Below are 17,453 nucleotides of genomic sequence, written 5' to 3'. Positions count from 1 at the left end.
GCCACCAAGCAAGGAGAAGGGAGGAGACCCTCAAATTCCTCTACCCAAGGAACTTTTGCCTGGGGTTTCTATGGGGATCATGGAGGGTGAGGGCCTGGAAGACTGGGGTCGTTGATTGGTTGGGGGAAAGAAGGTGAAATTATCAGAATGTGGAAACTGCACTCTTCGGTGAGTCAGCTCCTCCTGGGGTCCTCAGACAGCTGGCATCAGTGGGGCCCTACAGACCAGCTGGCATCAGCGGCATCCTTCAGACCAGCTGGCATTGGTAGTTTCACTCTTATACAGGACCTAAAAGAATTTCTCAAAGGGAAAACTTAACCTTTCATAATATTCAAGTTGTTATCTATAGAGCAGGTAAGGATAACTGGAATCTTGTAACAGAGTCTACATGATTCTAGGACATCAGGCAACAAGCAACCATGAGGAAGCAGGTGAGACAGCAGCCTAACCTGGTGATGAATGCTGAATGTGCTGCAAGCCAGCTTTCATTTCATTTACCCATCTCTCTTCTTCCTTGATTAATTTTCATAAAGTTTATAGGGGTGGTTTCAGAATAACTGAACAGTTCGAGGTCAGGGCAGTTTGGTCATGTCTGAATTGAGCTCGGTGGTGGATCAGGATGTGGCCCCTTCATCTCTTGGCCCTATTCTTCTCTGCCAGCCTTGCCCTCTTGGGATCATCTCCAGAGCTCCAGGCCAACATGCTCCCTTGTGCACATCCAGCAAAAAGAGGAGCCTCTAGTGCCAATGGCACCAGCATGAGGCCCACATGTCATTCTCATTGGCTGTTACTGGGATTTGTGCACCTCCCAGGATGAACCACTGTGGTAAATGAAATATGCCAATAGGATAAAGGGAGTCAGCTAAGAGAAATCAGGGTGCTGGGAGGTAAGATGAGTGCTAGGTGCTCAAGCAATTACCTACTGAGTGAGAGTTTAAGCCTCAATTCAAATCTCACCTCCTCCAGGAAGCCCTCTCTGATTTACTGAGTGTCTGCTTGTTCTGTTTACCTGCTTCATTTTTTACAGTCCTGTTTCTACCTCCAAGCTGTGCATTCCTTCAGTGTCTGTAACATCCTGCTACCTAGCACCAAATCCATGGGAGAGGTGCTGAGATACATGTACACAGACATGGGGTGCACATATACATACTACATAAGTGGCAGAGACATGCATTTATTGGTATCATTGCATGGATACTTTGAGGGTAAAGTTGTAGACACTCCCACACTTCTTACCAATACGCATCGTATAGCTATAATTTATTGCAGGTAATCTCATTTAATAAAACAGTTCTTGTCACATGGAAGATGCTCAGTAAATAGTTTTTGGATAAGTGAATGCAAGCCCTAAATAATGATACATAATGGTGGATGAGGGAGTTGAGATGGAAACAAAGTTTGTCTATGTCCAAGGGCAATGCTTTTATTGTAATGACTCACATGTTTTCGGGTCTAACAACTTTGCCTAAAACACAGACTTCAGTAGAGCGGCCAAAGGCAAATGTGCTCTGGTTAAATAGCAGTGTGAAGCAGGTGTATATCTGTGTGGAAAGTTGTTGCCACCACCCACACAGCCACCCTGAGGTGCTCCCTGGAACACCAGGGCTCCCTGGAACCATCTGCACGTCACACTCAAATGCAAGCTGCCTGGTTTGAGTCCCTCTGACTGCTTGTCTCCCCAGTGTCACCTGGTTGGCTGGATAGCTGGAAGGGGCAGTGAGACCCTGATGTCTCTGGGAGAAAGAGGCCCTGAGAGGCAGTGCTCACTCACCAGCTTTGAGGCTTTCTTCAAGGAAGTCCCCCTATGCCCCGCTCCTGGATCCCACAAGCTGAGGCTCCATGCCTCAGGGACTGAAGAGCACGGGCCCCACACAGCTCACTGCAGGGGGTTGGGAGGCCTTGGTTGTGTGACCCCAGACAATGAACTTTGGCTAGGTTGGATCTTGATGCTCCTGGCCTGCTTATCTAGTAACACAAAGTATTTCTAATTTAAATGATAATAACAAATTGGAAAAAAAATGCTTGCATGCATTCAGTGAACTGTGACCATCATCCGTGTTACTCCTGGATCTGGTGCTGACGGAACATTATTAAGCCCTTATCTACGACGCCCACACTAAGCATGTTGCTGATGGAATTAGCAGAACAGGTGTGGTATTCTATACCTTGAGCTCTTCAGAACACATGCCCTCCTTGTGTTGTCAGAGCAATAACTGAGAAAATGTTCTCTTAAAAGGAGAGAGCAGTCACAAAGAAGTTGACATTCTTTCTTAAGGTAAGTTAAGAGAACACATGTTTTCAGATGGAAAATTGTGTTTCCTTTTTACTCTTTTCTGTCCAGAGTCAGCGATATGGAGTAAATCCATCACTAGGAGAACACCTTTCTCTTCCAGAATTGCTGATGAATCATTAGGTAAAGCCGGGGCCACCGGCAGAGTGGCCTTCTGGCAGATGGCTGGGGCTTGGGAAATGCACATCTTCTCTCGGCTCAGCTATGTGGTTCTTCTTTCTTCAAGAAGCCAAAGTACTGGGTGTACCCCACAAAGTCACAACTGGGCACAGACGGGAAAGGCTGGCTGTCAGCACCTTGCTGGCCATGGTCGTGGACCCCAGAGTGAGCTGACAAAGCAGTCAGTCCAAGCATGGCTGCAGGAGCGCCAGAAGGCGCTGGGTGCTAACACTTAGGAGGCAGCATGGACAGTGGAGGGCTATAGAGGAGGCCCCACATGAGGGACAGAATGAGGGTCCACTGGCTGCCTGCACTGCCTGATGCTCCTGCTATGGCGGCAGAAGGCCAGGCCCCTAGCAGGGCTGCTGCTGTGTGGATTCTGATGCCACTAATGACTTATCGTGCATCTGGGCCTCTGACTCTGGGTGCCTCTTAGGGCTGAGATAAGGATGAGGGGAGAGAACAAATGGGAAATGCCCAGGCTCACTCTCAGCACCAAGTGGTCTGTGCAGCCCAGGAGCCTGGAGGCAAGCCCTCGCAGGAGCCCAAGGGATCCAAACTGAAGCACTGTTTTCTGACATCTAGTATTTAAACCTAACATTTTGCATGAATTTATTTTCCACCACACGCTTGTATGAATAAAAACAGATGACTTCCCCTCCTAATTAAGCAGAACTGACATGTACTGGTGGCTCCTGGCCCATGGCCCACACTGAGGAGGAACAACAATAACGTTAGCATGAAAGGTGATAATTGGTCCTTTTAGAAAGCTGTGGAAGTGGGCACTGGAAGACGTGTTTGCCTCAGCTGCAGATGGGTGCGACATATCAAGGGAGCCCTCCTGGCCCGTCCTGCCCTGTACCAAGTTTCACCTGATGCTCACTCTCCCACATCTTCTGCTTCAGGAAAGCCCAGCATGCCTCGGTCTGGGAAGGCAGCCTATTATTCCAGCCCCATAACCTCTCCTCTTGCCACTCCATGTCCCCACCCACTCCCACCTGGACACTTACAGGACTCCAGCACTGCCTCCTCCAAGAAGCCTTCCTGGACTCCGTCAGCCCACATTGGGCTTGTTAACACTGATTATCTGAAAAATTTGGGGTATCACCTCATGACATGCTGTGCTATATTCCATCACCACCTTGCCCAAGACTCACAAGCAGCAGGTGACAGTCCAGATTCAAATCTGGGTGTGCCTGGCTGAGCACCCATGGCTTCTCTGCAGACTTAGCCCCAGCTGCAGCCCCCTGTCTGCCCCATCTGTTTCATCATCTCCTCACCCAGTTTCTGGGTGCTCCTGATAATGTTCTGTTTGTTAGGCTGGGCCCTGAGAAGGTACCCAGAAAGCCTTAAGCATTCATGGAAATGAGCCCACAGGCTGTGTGATCCAGCAGACAAGCTGATCGAGCACGAGAGTGGTCCACAAGAGCAGCCGTGGCACAGCCAGGCTTTAACCTCCTTGTGCTTGGGCTCGTGCTCCGCTGAACCATGGAAGTCTTGTGATAGAGTAAGGACCGGCTGGTGTGGGAGGCAAGAGGAGGATGGGTACACATGTTGCCATTAGTCAGCCTTGTCTTAGCCACCAAATCGGGCCTCCTTCATGAGAGAGTCTAATGTTTTATGGTTTTCCCTACAATGTGAGTGCTCAGAAGAGAAAGACTATTCTATTATACTCACGCCCACGTCCAACACGGTGCCTGGAGCACAGTGAATGCTTACTCCCAGTGTGGGGATGAGCGGCTGATGGGCTGGGGAGGGAGAGGGAGCCTGGGGTTCTCTTTCGTCCTAGCTGGGAATCCTGACCGGCTGCTAGGCCCACTTCAGCATCTATAAAACAAGGTATGTCGCTGGTCTTTGGGCTGCTGGAAGGAATAGTGATTTCACATAAGAGAGGCACCACCTGGCCCCGGATAGCAGGTCCTTCAGTTTTGTCTCAAGGTGGCTGAGGACGCCTGGGGGTGTCCCAGGAGGGATGCTGAGGCCAGGTCTGGGGCATGGAGAAAGTTGGGCAGGTGTAATATGCATGCCCTAGGTGTGCCTGTATCTGCCATTTTGTCTTTGCAAGAACTCAGAAGAGTAAAAATTTGTAGTTCTTCTCATGGAAAGAGTGAAGGGAGCCCCATCGTGCCCCGTGAAGCTGCTCTGCACCTGGCTCTCCTGTTCTGTGGCCCTGCCTTCCACGATGTCAGAATAAATCATCTAGTTAACTGACTATGGGGTGGGGCGCCAGGAGGGAAACCAGGTGGGGAGATTGGCAATGAGACAGAAATGACTCGTTTTGCCACTGGTTGTGTTGGCATTTTGTAGACACAGCCCTGGGCTCACTCACTGCATCACCTCCCACATTAGGCCATTAGGAGGGGAATTTTTTGTGTAGAGTACAAAGTATTGATTGTCCATCTTTCTTAACATTTTAATTGCATTTCAGAGAACACTGAGCTGCAGTCAATGTGGGGCTGCCTGGTTTCCCTTTGCCCTCAGGGGAACAGATAATCTGGAGAAGCAAGAATGAAGAAAGCAGCCTTATAAACAAACCAGAAGAATTAAGAGTGAGGACAGCTCTACCCAGCCCGGCTGGCAGCTGGCCACACTGCAAACCTGCTTGTGGGAAAGCTGGTTTTTGGGGTGCAAAAGAAAAATACTAAAATCAGCTTTCTGGTGTGGAAACTCAGGCAAGTGCAGGCACATATGCTCACCTTGGCTGTTCCCAGAAGTGCCTAAGCTGCCACATGCTATCTACCTGTGTCCTGCTGAGCTGCCTGAGCACAGGGACCATGTTCCATCGCACAGGTCATGCAGATGGGCAGCAGGTGCCAGGAACCCAAGTGGCAGAAGGTAGAGGTGAGAAAGCCCTGAGAAGCTGGCCCTTCAGGGCTCATAGGGAGCCATAGACCGTTTCTGTTCCATGGGGAGTGCGTGTGCTGGGGACTGCGGAGAGGCAGGAGACCCTCCAGGCCCTTCCTTCAATGCACACCATCAGTGCTGTCCTTGGAGTTCTGAGGCTCTGGCTGAAAGAAGATGCATCGATCCAGTTTTAAACCACAGCTAAATAAGCCTGGGGTTATAAATTAAATATAACCAAGCAAAGTGCCTCCAGAAACTGCCCCAAGCTTGGTTGTGTTTAGAAAGCTTCCCAGCTCCCTCCAGGCCATGTGGTCTCTCCAGGTTCTGACTGAGGACTGGAGTTGCTGGCTCCGTTTACTTGGTGCCTGTCATTTTCTGCTTTGTGATTTATTTTGTGCTGGCATCTTCTACAGCTATTTAACTTTTCATGAGTGTGCATGTCTCATCTTTTTGCCTATATTGCAAAATGCCTCAGGGGTTGAGACTGCACCATATGCTTCAGAATCAGCATTTGATCTCTGTTTTGAAAGGTCCTCTTCTCCCAGGGTCTCACTTTGCGGGCGAAGGACCCTGGCCTGAAAGTTCGAATGAGTCTCCTAGGCTAAAGGAGGTATGGGGCAGGGCTGGGCTGGAACTCAGCTCTCCCGAGGCTTAGGTTCCCCAGCACTGTTGAAAAGACTGAACTGCTGCTTTTCCAACTAGGTGAGAGGGGCACACCCCTCAAAGTTATCACGCACAGTGGATCATCTTTCCTTCCTTTATTAAACAAAATCATTTTCACTGATAATCGTGCAATAACCAGTAATGGTTTCTTGAGTCATTCTTTAGTTTAAGACAATAAATTATTTAAAAAGAAAAACTTTTAATTTCAAATATATCATTAAATTTAATAAATTATTTCATGTATGAAATAAAGTTTGCGCTTACCAAACAAAAGATATCTTGTGATCTCTGCTGCTTCGCTGTGTTGGATTTTCAACATAAAGGGGAAGTTCATGTGGTCACCTGCAGCCACAGTGTTGGGATAGCTCTGGGGATGTGTGATTCCCTTTACAATCACTGTGAGACCATTGCTTCTTTTGAGTGTACTATTAGAATATAAGAACATGAAGTACCACAGGGCTGGGGTCACAAACTGCACCTGAGCAGGATTTGAATTAAAAAAAAAAGGTGAATAGCTGAATTGCTGTGAGTTGTGGGGCATTCCATATAACTCGGAGCTCTCTGAATCAACTTCCCTGTAGGGTATAATATTTATTAAAGAGTACGTCATGTCTTCTTTTGAGAAGTGTCTGTTCATATCCTTCGCCCACTTTTTGATGGTTTTTTTTTTCTTTTAAATTTGTTTAAGTTCTTTGTAGATTCTGGATATTAGCCCTTTGTCAGATGGGTAGATTCCAAAAATTTTCTCCCATTCTGTAGGTTGCCTGTTCACTCTGATGATAGTTTCTTTTGCAGTGCAGAAGCTCTTTAGTTTAATTAGATCCCATTTTTCAATTTTAGCTTTTGTTGCCATTGCTTTTGGCATTTTCATCATGAGGTCTTTGCCCATGCCTATGTTCTGAATGGCCAGCAAATATATGAAAAGAAGCTCAATTATCCCTGATCATTAGAGAAATGCAAATCAAAACCATAATGAGATACCATCTCATGCCAGTCAGAATGGCGATTATTAAAAAGTCAGGAAACAACAGATGCTGGTGAGGCTGTGGAGAAATAGGAATGCTTTTACACTGTTGGTGGGAATGTAAATTAGTTCAACCATTGTGGAAGACAGTATGGTGATTCCTCAAGGATCTAGAACCAGAAATACCATTTGACCCTGCAATCTCATTACTGGGTATATACCCAAAGGAATATAAGTCATTCTACTATAAAGACAAATGCACAGGGATGTTTATTGCAGTACCATTCACAATAGCAAAGTCGTGGAATCAACTCAAATGGCCATCAATGATAGACTGGATAAAGAAAATGTGCAGAAGATGCAAGTTTGTTACATAGGTATGCATGTGCCATGCAAACCACCATGGCACATGTATACCTATGTAACATGTCCCATATACACCATGGGACACTATGCAGCCATGGCCGGGTGTGGTGGCTCACACCTGTAATCCCAGCACTTTGGGAGGCAGAGGCAGGAGAATCATTTGAGGTCAGGAGTTTCAGACCAGCCTGGCCAACATGGCAAAACCTTGTCTATACTAAAAATAAAAATAAAAATAAATTAGCCAGGCGTGGTCATGGGCACCTATAATCCCAGCTACTGGGGAGGTTGAGGCAGGAGAATCACTTGAACCCAGGAGGTGGAGGTTGCAGTGAGCCAAGATTGCACCATTGCATTCTAGCCTGGGCTACAGAGCAAGACTCCACCTCAAAAAAAGGAAAAAAAAAAAAAAAAAGAATACTATGCCACCATAAAAAGCAATGAGATCATGTCCTTTGCAGGGACATGGATGAAGCTGGAAGCCATCATCCTCAGCAAACTAACACAGGAACAGAAAACCAAACACACTCATAAGTGGGAACTGAACAGTGAGAACACACGTACACAGGGAGGGGAACGTCACACACAGGGGACCGTGGGGGAGTGGGAGGCAAGGGGAGGGAACTTAGAGGATGGGTCAATAGGTGCAGCCAACCACGGCACATGTACAGCTATGTAACTAACAAACCTGCACTTTCTGCACATGTGTCCCAGAACTTACTTAAAGTAAAATTAAAAACAAAAAGGATATGTGGTGAAGATCTGCTCATTTGAGACCTACATTTATATTATTAAAACTCAAGAGTAACCATGGCAATTGTTTAGAACTCAGACCAATACAAGATGTTTGTGGAGAGAAGCATGTTATTGCCAACATTCTTTAGAATGGTGGTAATAAAAACTTGGTGATAATCAACTTTTAGTAAGTTTTCATATTGTTTTAAAATCCCCTCCAGGCAATGCATCCCCTATTGCTGACCCCTGGGTGGGCTGTTCCCACCACCGCAGCCTCAGCATGGCTCTGTTGCAGCAGATGGTTTGTGATAATCGTATTTTGTCTGAAACGTGGGACTCTAAACACCCTCCTAGTCTAGCTGTGTGCATCAGAAGGTCTCTAGTGGGTGAGAATAATGATTAGCAAAGGAGCACTTGCTATTTGGCTTTGGCCCTAATACCCTGAGTGGAATCTCAGAGAGCATGGCTGCTCCACATGGAGGCTTCCTGTATAGACCAGAGGGGCTACAGGACCTAGAATGAAGCCAGATGAATGAACCACTCTTTCAATGAGGCTCACATGTGTGACTTTCAACTCTGCTGCCAAGGAACATGCTGGCATTGGTAAGCAGGTCAGCCTGTAGGAAAGGGAGAATCACTGAGAGGGAGATGGAGTGTCCACCCACATCCGGAGCTTCCCCCATTCCTTGTTCCCCGTCTTAGGATTCACGGGTCAGTGTAGCACACCAGGACCACCAGACCCTGCCACTGGCATTGAAGAAGGAGTTCAAATAAAGAATAGACAGGGGAAGAGCTTAGGCAAATGACAAACCCTGCATTTTCAAAGCCATCAACAATATTACATTTGGAGGCAAATAAATTAATCGATATTTAAAATTTCAGATGATTTTAACAAGCCTGAGGTGGAATAACGCATATAGGGGCCTCCATGCCAAGTGAGCTCCACCAGCCAGGGAGAGGCATTGGCTTAGAATGAGTCTTGGATGACACCTGTGGTAGTCAGCTTAGGAGGGCACCCATCCTGCAATTATGGAGGCAGTATCTTTTTTGGCAAATAAATGAGAGTGGAGATCACGTGAGCTACTCTTTTCACACAGAGAACAGATCTTGATTAATTTTTCTCATGCTGTAGGATATTGTTGGTTCCAAATGAACTGGCTCTTACTCTTTAATTCTCTGTCGAGATCATGTATAACAATTCTTTTTGATTCCTTGGTTGATTACAAAAGTTCTTATTTTTTTAATGATCTCTTTAAAATCCGGAGAGTTGCCTGTAGCCAAGGTGATTTGAGTACCCACTTTAAGAGGACTTGCTTTGACACCTTCCATGAAGTATCATTGCAAGATCTCTCCACTGAGTCTGGAGAATACCGGGGGAGGTTTACGCAATTTAACAAGGAAATCTGCAGAAGCTGCTCTTGGCTCCTTCTGTCCCATGTTATTTTTGCCATTTCTGAGCACATAGAGTTTAACAAATTTTCACTACTGTTTGAGGCTTCTTTCCTCAGCACCTAAATATGCAACTTAGTAAGATGCTTTTGCCAAAAGCCTCTTGTAACCTCAAGCTTCTTTTGTCCTTGAGCTATTATTGATAAATGTCCGACATGTAATAGAGTGCGTGGTCATGTGTGGCTGTGCTGTTCTGGTGGAAATAGTGCAGTAGCTTCCATGGTATAATACTGAGGCTTGAAAATAACAGGTCAGGGCATGCAGCCTTCACTGAGTTCCATCCACCATCCTCTTACAAGAGGTTTGACAATGAGCAAGGCATTGATTGCTTTATTTCTCCAAGGGACAGAAGAACTGGAAGAGACGGCACTCATGGCACTGACTCTTAGCCGCCACGTCCACATTACCAGAGCTGCCATGCTAGCCTGTTATCGCTTGCACACATGTGAGGACACAGCATCATATGTGGTGGTACTAATTCTGCTCTGAACACAGGACTCTAGTGAGCCTCTCACTGCTGCTCAGCTGGGCTCCACATAGGAGCAGCCCATGATGCCCCTAGAAGACATCACTCATCAGAGACAGTCACTCTGTATTCTAAAATCCAAAGCACCAATGAACCTCGCATGGCCTGAATGTGAGGGAGACCCAGCATGCACTGGTGACGCACGCATTGGTAAGTGTCACCCCGGCCATTTAGATAGGTGCGAGCAGGCATTGTTGCTTTCAGCTGGGCTGTCCTAGGTGCATGTGCGTTTGCCACATTTAGCACCTAAACCATGCAAGCACACTCATGGCCCCACAAAGGATGGCTTTCATTACGGGGGCGATTGTCTCAGAGAGAGGACCAGAGGCTGGGATCAGGCCCACAAACTCAGGAGTTTGCAGCATGAAAGTGAAAGCCGACTCCAGCAAAACCTCCTCCCTCCATCAGACCCAGTGACAGAAAGTGCTGGTCCTCTCTGTGCATATGTCCCATGGGCATAAGATTCTGGAGGACACTAGCTTCCTTCTGGGGCTGGTGGCCAAAGTGAGTGATGTCACTGGCTGCTGGGCAGTGGGGTGACAGCATACACCAGCCTCTAAGCAGTGAGGACAAGTGTGGGCCGAAGGCCCTGGGGCAGGCAGGAAGAGCACTCATGGGGGCAGAAGTAGAGGCCAGCCGAGTCCTGGGAGGCTGGTGTGCACGGGCCTGTGGCACCACAACACAGCAGCCAGCTCCGTGCCTGGGCCACCCTGTGAAGAAAAGGGGCTGGAGAGCAGCCCCTCTGCCCGGCTTGCCTTCCTGCCTCCTGGATGGTCTCTCGAGAAGCTGAATCTTGGGTCTTGGCGCCATGGTGGGTGCTGTCAGATGTCTGTGGTCTCCTTCCTCTCAGTTCTGTTCTGTGTGTGTGGAGTGGTTCAGTGCCATTTCCCTGCCTGTGACACTCCCCTGGTGACAGCAGAGATTAGATCTCCCCTGGTGCCAGAGCTGCCCACAGTGTGCCTGGCTCACCTCTCAGGTTCCGCTCTGCCAGCGTGGTCCCCTGCTGCACATCAGGGGTTCCTAGCGAGTGCTAGGCTCCTTTTAGCTCTCGCAGGACCACAGAAACCCTCCCCGTGATGATCTGATCCTGCGTCCCCACTCCCCGGCCAACTGCCATTCCTTGAAACCCAGCTCAGTCCTCAGCCCCTGAGGAAGCTCCCTTGACTTACTTCCCAGGCACTCTGTGTGAATTTGGACTTTGACCACAGATCCTGGTTCTGTTTCCATTCACCCCACCGCTCACAGATTGCGGGATTCCTCAGGGGAAGGGCAAGGTGTGATTTGTCCACTTTTTCTAACCTTCAGCATGTTCCATTGATATTAAATGTTCTGTTTGTATTTGTGAAGGAATTTGAAGATTTTCTTTTTATTTTGACAATTTGTTTTTCCTTTGTAGATTGTGAAGTCACTAGAGAGGTATGCAAAAGCCTTTTATCGATCGTAGTTCTAAAGACCAAGCAGGAAAGTGTGAAATACGCCCACTGAGGCCAGTTATAAAAGCCAGAAGCGAGCCGGAGCATCCTCCCTGGAGCTGTCAAATCCCTACTTGCCTTAGGGCTGAGTATGGTGGACTCCTCTGCAGGTATCAGGAGGTATGCGCGGGGCAGACGGCGCCTCTATCCTGTGCTCTGTGTGCTGCTGGGCTGGTCCTGGGGTGCAGCAAACTCTCTAGGGGCCTATAAGTCAAGCCCTGGGAGACAGCTTCTCCAGTTCTGAGGGATTAAGCAAGAGGATAGGGCTGCTCTATTTTTTTAAAAAAATTTTTATTAACTGTGTTCCTAAGCCTGGCTTGTAGTCAGGTTCAGGCATGGAGGGCAGCTGAGGCTTGCACTGTAATTTATTGCTACTTGCCATAATCCTGGAATCGCATCCCACTCCGGCCCAGGCCTGGAAGGCAGAATCTTTCCTCAGCCAAGAGCATGATGTCTGGTTGTTGTGGGGATGCCTGCCTTCCCCTTTGGCATGGGCTGGAAAGCTGCCTGCACTCCACTCTTGATGGCAAAGATGTTGAAGGAAGAAGGAGACTTTAATTGACAGTCATTTCATCTTTGGCATCAGTTACCTAATGACAGAACCCATTGCGCTCCCCTGGGGAGAGCTGTGTTTTCATCCATTAGACAAAAGACAGAGAATGTGTCTCACGCATCACTTCATTCCCTTCCATGAGCACAGGGTAAGTGACTAAGAAATGGTAACTGTATGGATAAATGAACTTAGACCAACCTCAACTATTTTTCTGGGACTCAGTACAGAGATGGATAACTTTTATAAGATACATAAGTTCAAAGTGCTTCACAAATGCCATCTGCACCATGACTAGAGGAGGAGGTATTATCCCATTTCACAGATGCAGGTGGTACAAGCATGTGACCATGCAGTGGAGTGGTGCTTTGTGTTCAAGCCAGGTCTGCCTGTGAGCTCATTTTCCTCCTCAAAGACTTGCTTATCCTCTCAGGTCCAGAGAAGAGAGTCTGCTTTGAGTGCACGCGAGCATGACACATATTCCTGAGGCTGCACATCACAGTGCATGGCGGTTTGTGGGTCCCACTAGGTGGTGAGATATTTGAAGACGTACAGGCTCCTGCAGCTCTTGGATGCTCCTGAGTCTGCTCTGATTGGGTGGAGCAGGTAGGCAAGAAGGGCTCCTGGAGATCCAGAAGGAAGTAGTTGTGATGTCTGATGCCCGGAACCATGGTCAGCAAGGGGCACTGAAGGATGGGGCAGGGGAGGAGCCTGGGTGAACACAGACATGGGTGTCTGAGATGGTCACCAGGATCACTCTCAGGGATGAACTCTGGTGCAGTTTGGAGAAAAGCCACACCATCAGCTGGCCCTCCCGAGGGAGTGTTGCAAGTCCTGGGCTTGAAGTGGTGGCCTGAACTCAGGAGAGCTTCACTTTTCACCTGGGGAAGGAGTCATGTTGGAACTAATCATAAAAATGATTATGGAATTTGAGACATAAACCCATGTAGCAAAATATTTCAGTGGGCAAGTTGGAACTAGAAGCATTACTCTTGGTCTCTTACTGTTAATCACAATGTGATTTGTTTGTTCAATATGGGTACAGAGTATTTATCCTATTTGTATAGTCCTGTTCTAGGCAAAAAAAAAAAAAAAAGAAAAAAGAGAAAAGAAAAGTCATTAATGAAATGTTCCTGTGAATACAAGACATTTCGCAGTATTCTTGCCGGTGGTCCCCGAATCCTTCTTGATCAGTGTTACTACCATTTGACAGTCAAGAAATATAAGCCTTAACATGGTTGAGTATCTTGCCCAGTTGTCACAGAAGAGAGCAATTAGAGTACAGTTACATGCAAGTCTTTCTAAAACTTTAGCTCTAAATCTGTTTGCAATTTAAGAAAGAAAATGGCTGGGTGCAGTGGCTAACACCTGTAGTCCCAGCACCTTGGGAGGCCGAGGCAGGTGGATCACGAGGTCAAGAGATCAAGAGCAGCCTGGCCAACACAGTGAAACCCCGTCTCTGCTAAAACTACAAAAATTAGCCAGGCGTGGTGGTGCGCACCTGTAATCCCAGCTACTTGGGAGGCTGAGGCAGGAGAATCGCTTGAACCCGGGAGGTGGAGGTTGCAGTGAGCTGAGATCATGCCACTGCATTCCAGCCTGGTGACAGAGTGAGACTCCATCCAGAGAGAAAAGAAAAGAAAAGAAAAGAAAAAAGAAAAAACAAGAAAAGGAACAGAAAACCTTCAACAGGCTTACATTCTGACTGAGGGATGAAAATGAGTGCCTAAGACATGATGGCACAATAAGAAGAATAAGACACCAAAGAGCTGGCAAGTTACCCAGCGATGAGTTTGAGCTCAGCGCAACTCTCCATGGGATCTGGGGCAACCAGCACGGTGGAGGGAGGGCAGAGCATCCATGCACCTGCCTAAGGAGCAGCTTGTCTGCCTTCAGACACCTCACAGGGACAGGTCGGAAACAGCTCTCTGAAGCCTGTCCCCTGTCAACAGTGGGCTGGGCAAGGCAGGGCTACCTGGGAGGTGTGCTGAGGCCTGGGGTAGGCCCTAGGGCCAGGGTGTATGGACCAAAGGCTGTAACAAATGGAGATAGCAGGTAGACCTAGACATCACGTGGGCCAAAGAGGCTCCCAGGAAGTCACAATGGTACGTCTATCTGTGGAAGGACCGAGCATACATGGAGAAGCCCAGATGGGAGGCAAGGAGTGGATAAAGGCATCGGAGGGAGGCCTGGGAAAGTCCCGGAGAATTGTTGAGAATACTTATAGAAGGTGCACACAGGCAGTGAGCAGGCTTGCTCAGGAAGGGCTCACAGGTGTTGAAGTTTTGGCCGTTTAGGACTTGGCAGACTAGGCAGGCATGAGCTTATGTCATATGCAAAACAGTGGGGACTTTGGCAGCTTTAGAGCAAGCCCTGTGCAGGCACTGCTGGGGCTTCAGCCTCCAGACAGATGAGCTTCCTGGAGGAGCGTGCTGCAATTCCGTAGGTGCTACCTAACAGAGCACAGCACCAGGGAAGGCAGCCTCCGCATGGAAACCACCCCGGCAAAAATGCCTGCAAGCCAGGCCTCATTTGCATTCTTCTTTTAAAAACAGCAACACTGTGAGGCCAAGGTGGGTGGATCACCTGAGGTCAGGAGTTTGAGACCAGCCTGACCAACATGGCAAAACCCCGTCTCTATTAAAAATACAAAATTAGCTGGGCATGGTAGTGTGTTCTTGTAATCCCAGCTACTCAGGAGGCTGAGGCAGGAGAATCACTTGAATCCACGAGGCGGAGGTTGCAGTGAGCTGAGATCGTGCCATTGCACTCCAGCCTGGGCAACAAGAGTGACCTCAAAACAAAACAAAACAAAACACAGTGGTGTATTTTGCTGTAGTTTTGTTTTACTATTATCTCTATGTAAGAGGTTATCTTACAGTTATCGCTATGGTAATATTTAAAGAAATAAACCTAAGGTCCTCCAGGATCAAGATAGTATCCTAAGTGAGAATACGTAAGCAATTTCCTCTACCAATTCCTGCAGTTATTTCCCACTGAAATAACTCGACTAGTAGAAAAGGCAAAATTATATCTCACAGTGAGTAACCATAAAAAATTGAACACTGACCTACAAAGCATCTGACAGATTTCATCTCAACTCTCAGTATGAATGAACCAGGTATCTCTATGTGAATGTTTGCAAAGAGCAAGATCACAGAATGGAAAGGCTACAAATCCCAAAGAGCAGTACCAGTGTGAACACTTCTTTTTAAATGTCAGATCGGTAATGTACTGACATTGGAACAAGATCTGAGAGAGGCACGTCTCACACTTGAGTGTGAAAACCCAATCATCACATTCATAAACCACAAAAACATCCAGCGTGAACTTTTTTTTTTTTTTTTGGAGACGGAGTTTCACTCTTGTCGCCCAGGCTGGAGTGCGATGGCACGATCTCACCTCACTGCAACCTCCGCCTCCCGGGTTCAAGTGATTCTCCTGTCTCGGCCTCCCGAGTAGTTGGGATTACAGACATGCGCCACCATGCCCAGCTAATTTTTGTATTATTAGTAGAGACAGGGCTTTGCCATGTTGGCTAGGCTGGGCTTGAACTTCTTGGCTTCCCAAGGTGCTGGGGTTAGAGGCGTGAGTCACCCGGCCCACCCCAGTGTGACCATTTAAAGCAAATGGATTCCTATCATTAAATAAAGATACTATGGGGAGGAGAAAAGAAGAGTAAAAAGAGAGAAAAAATGACTTCAACAATAATAACCACAACCCCAAATCATGTGTTTTGAGAGAGGAAAAGGTGGAGGGACACGGTGGAACAGCCACAGGCTGCTGCAGAAAGCAGTCATCTCAAGAAGGGGTAAGTATACAAAAGGTGTGGTGACTGAAGTCAATGGCACACTGAAGAGTGAAAAAAACAAAAAGTATTGAATTAGTTCAAGGGAATCTCTTGAAGCTCAGATGAAAGTGATAAACAGAGGAAAAATATGAATGACAGGAGACTCCCAAGAGTCCTAATACATGGACATTAGAAATTCCATAGGAACAGAACTGAACAGATGGAGGAAGGCTAGAAATAACTGTTTCTCTGAACTAACGGCCTGAGTTTTCTGACTGAATGAGCTCACTAAATGTTGATTAAAGTAACTGAAGAAAATACTGAAAACTGGGCAGCACCTGCTGACATTTCTCAATTTCATCTACACAGAAAAATGTTTTTAACCAGCCAAAAAAGAGACAAAATTGTTTTTTTTAAAAAAGCATCAAACAGAGAAAATGACTTTCTCAACTAAAATACTGAAAATTAGGAAACATGGAATAATATTTACAGAGTTCTGAAAATTATTAAGGCTCTAGAATACTTTACTCTTCATTATATGTAAAGAAACAAGATAATTCCGACGCAAAGTCTCAGAAAAAAACTTCCTTAGCACTTGTCTGGCCTCTCTGGGCTGGGGTCATAAATGCTCTAGAAAAGCCTGCTGCAAATAGAAACTGATATAGAATAGCTCAAGGCAGTAAAAGGTGTGGTATGGAATACAGTTTGCCAAAATAGGGCATTCCTACCACTGGGAAATAGAGGAGAATTTTAAATTATATACACATGAATATTTGTATTTTTATAGCAATGTATTTTTCCATGAATTCAAAAAGCTGGCCAGGAGTGGTGGCACACACTTGTAATCTCAGCACTTTGGGAGGCCGAGGCAGGTGGATCACTTGAGGTCAGGAGTTGGAGACCAGCCTGGCCAACATGGTGAAACCCCATCTCTATTAAAAATACATTAAAAAAATTAGCTGGGCGTGGTGGCAGGGGCCTGTAATCCTAGCTACCAGGGAGGTTGAGGCAGGAGAAGCACTTGAACACAGGAGGCGGAGGTTGTAGGGAGCCAAGATTGCACCACTGCACTCCAGCCTGGGTGACAAGGGAGACTCCATCTTAAAATAAATAAATAAATAAATAAAAATAAATTGTAAGGAGCAGTATTCCACAAGGACACGTTTATGTGGAAAACTAAAGTGTGAAAGTCACGAGCATTAAGTAAATAATATTGAATAACAAAACCAGCAAGAGTTAAAGTAATGTTAAATGACTGGTTTTAATGTTTTTGTGAGCCTTCATGCAAATATTAGGAAATAATTCTCTAAGTGTTGATTCGGGTCTTGGATGCATAAAACGATTCATGTTAGTAGATTAATACACAAAGGGTTTATTAAGGGATAAGCTCATAGAATTCTTGGGAGGCTTGAAGAAACAGCACGTAGGCTAAGCCTCCAGGAGCAACAAACATCCTACACCACACGGTAAGCCAGGTCACCACAGGAGCTGCTGCCCCCGCCATGATCAGAAACTCTGGTCCTATGTAATGACCTCCCTGTAGGCATTGGCTCAAGAACCATGAAGGTCCAGTGCTTCCCTCTATCCCCAAGTAAACTCCTGTCCATTCAAAAGTCTTACATGGGTTCAGAAAATAGGCAGAACCTAA

The 17,453-nt window shown here is 46.9% G+C and overlaps 1 non-coding gene across 1 annotated transcript, besides 2 other annotated features; it reads right to left on the bottom strand.

The window, feature by feature from the left end:
• Nucleotides 10,342-10,841: an enhancer, noted in NCBI's record as "H3K4me1 hESC enhancer chr2:130189489-130189988 (GRCh37/hg19 assembly coordinates)". NCBI's record gives its function as "activates a minimal SCP1, AML or CMV promoter by ChIP-STARR-seq in primed H9 embryonic stem cells {active_cell/tissue: H9 hESC(primed)}" and the evidence as "EXISTENCE:reporter gene assay evidence [ECO:0000049][PMID:30033119]".
• Nucleotides 10,842-11,343: an enhancer, noted in NCBI's record as "H3K4me1 hESC enhancer chr2:130188987-130189488 (GRCh37/hg19 assembly coordinates)". NCBI's record gives its function as "activates a minimal SCP1, AML or CMV promoter by ChIP-STARR-seq in primed H9 embryonic stem cells {active_cell/tissue: H9 hESC(primed)}" and the evidence as "EXISTENCE:reporter gene assay evidence [ECO:0000049][PMID:30033119]".
• LOC124906164 (small nucleolar RNA U13) lies at nucleotides 15,232-15,335 on the bottom strand. The gene has a single exon (XR_007088752.1). It is a non-coding gene; the product is annotated as a small nucleolar RNA U13 (small nucleolar RNA).
• Nucleotides 15,336-17,453: the final 2,118 nt, after the last annotated feature.

This window comes from Homo sapiens, chromosome 2 (genome assembly GCF_000001405.40).
Source record: "Homo sapiens chromosome 2, GRCh38.p14 Primary Assembly".
Taxonomy (NCBI): Eukaryota; Metazoa; Chordata; class Mammalia; order Primates; family Hominidae; genus Homo; species Homo sapiens.
Note: the sequence above shows the minus strand (reverse complement) of the source record. Positions and strands in the feature narration are given on the sequence as shown.